General features: G+C 47.7%; 1 protein-coding gene and 1 long non-coding RNA gene across 11 annotated transcripts in view; one reads left to right on the top strand and one right to left on the bottom strand.

Annotated features, from left to right (window-relative positions):
- LINC02456 (long intergenic non-protein coding RNA 2456) overlaps positions 1–302 on the top strand; it is a 432,422-nt gene that overhangs the window by 175,911 nt on the left and 256,209 nt on the right. The gene's annotated exons all lie outside the window — the stretch shown is intronic.
- Positions 1–302, bottom strand: part of IGF1 (insulin like growth factor 1) — an 85,966-nt gene that overhangs the window by 59,611 nt on the left and 26,053 nt on the right. The gene's annotated exons all lie outside the window — the stretch shown is intronic.

Here is a 302-nt window from a genome sequence, read left to right on the forward strand (position 1 = left end):
TTTTCAGTTGACAAGTTAAGTTCATTTTGAAATATCTCACAGCGAAACCAGAATAGGGCATTTCAAGTGGGGGAGGAGTTCCACACAGAGGTCTCCACTCATTGCATCTACCCTCTCTTCCAGTCTCTACCTGCACCCCTTTCCTTAATGCTTAGTTTGCAGTAGCTGAAATCAAAAGCCTCCATGAGGCAAGTTGGGCAGACTCAGGCAAAATTCCCCATCCTGTCATCCTAGCAGGGAAGAGACCAGCATTCTAGTATGTCCAGTAGAGGACTGAGGCACCCTGCAATCTCTCCTCCCAG

The sequence above is a fragment of the Homo sapiens genome, chromosome 12, assembly GCF_000001405.40.
Source record: "Homo sapiens chromosome 12, GRCh38.p14 Primary Assembly".
Taxonomy (NCBI): domain Eukaryota; kingdom Metazoa; phylum Chordata; class Mammalia; order Primates; family Hominidae; genus Homo; species Homo sapiens.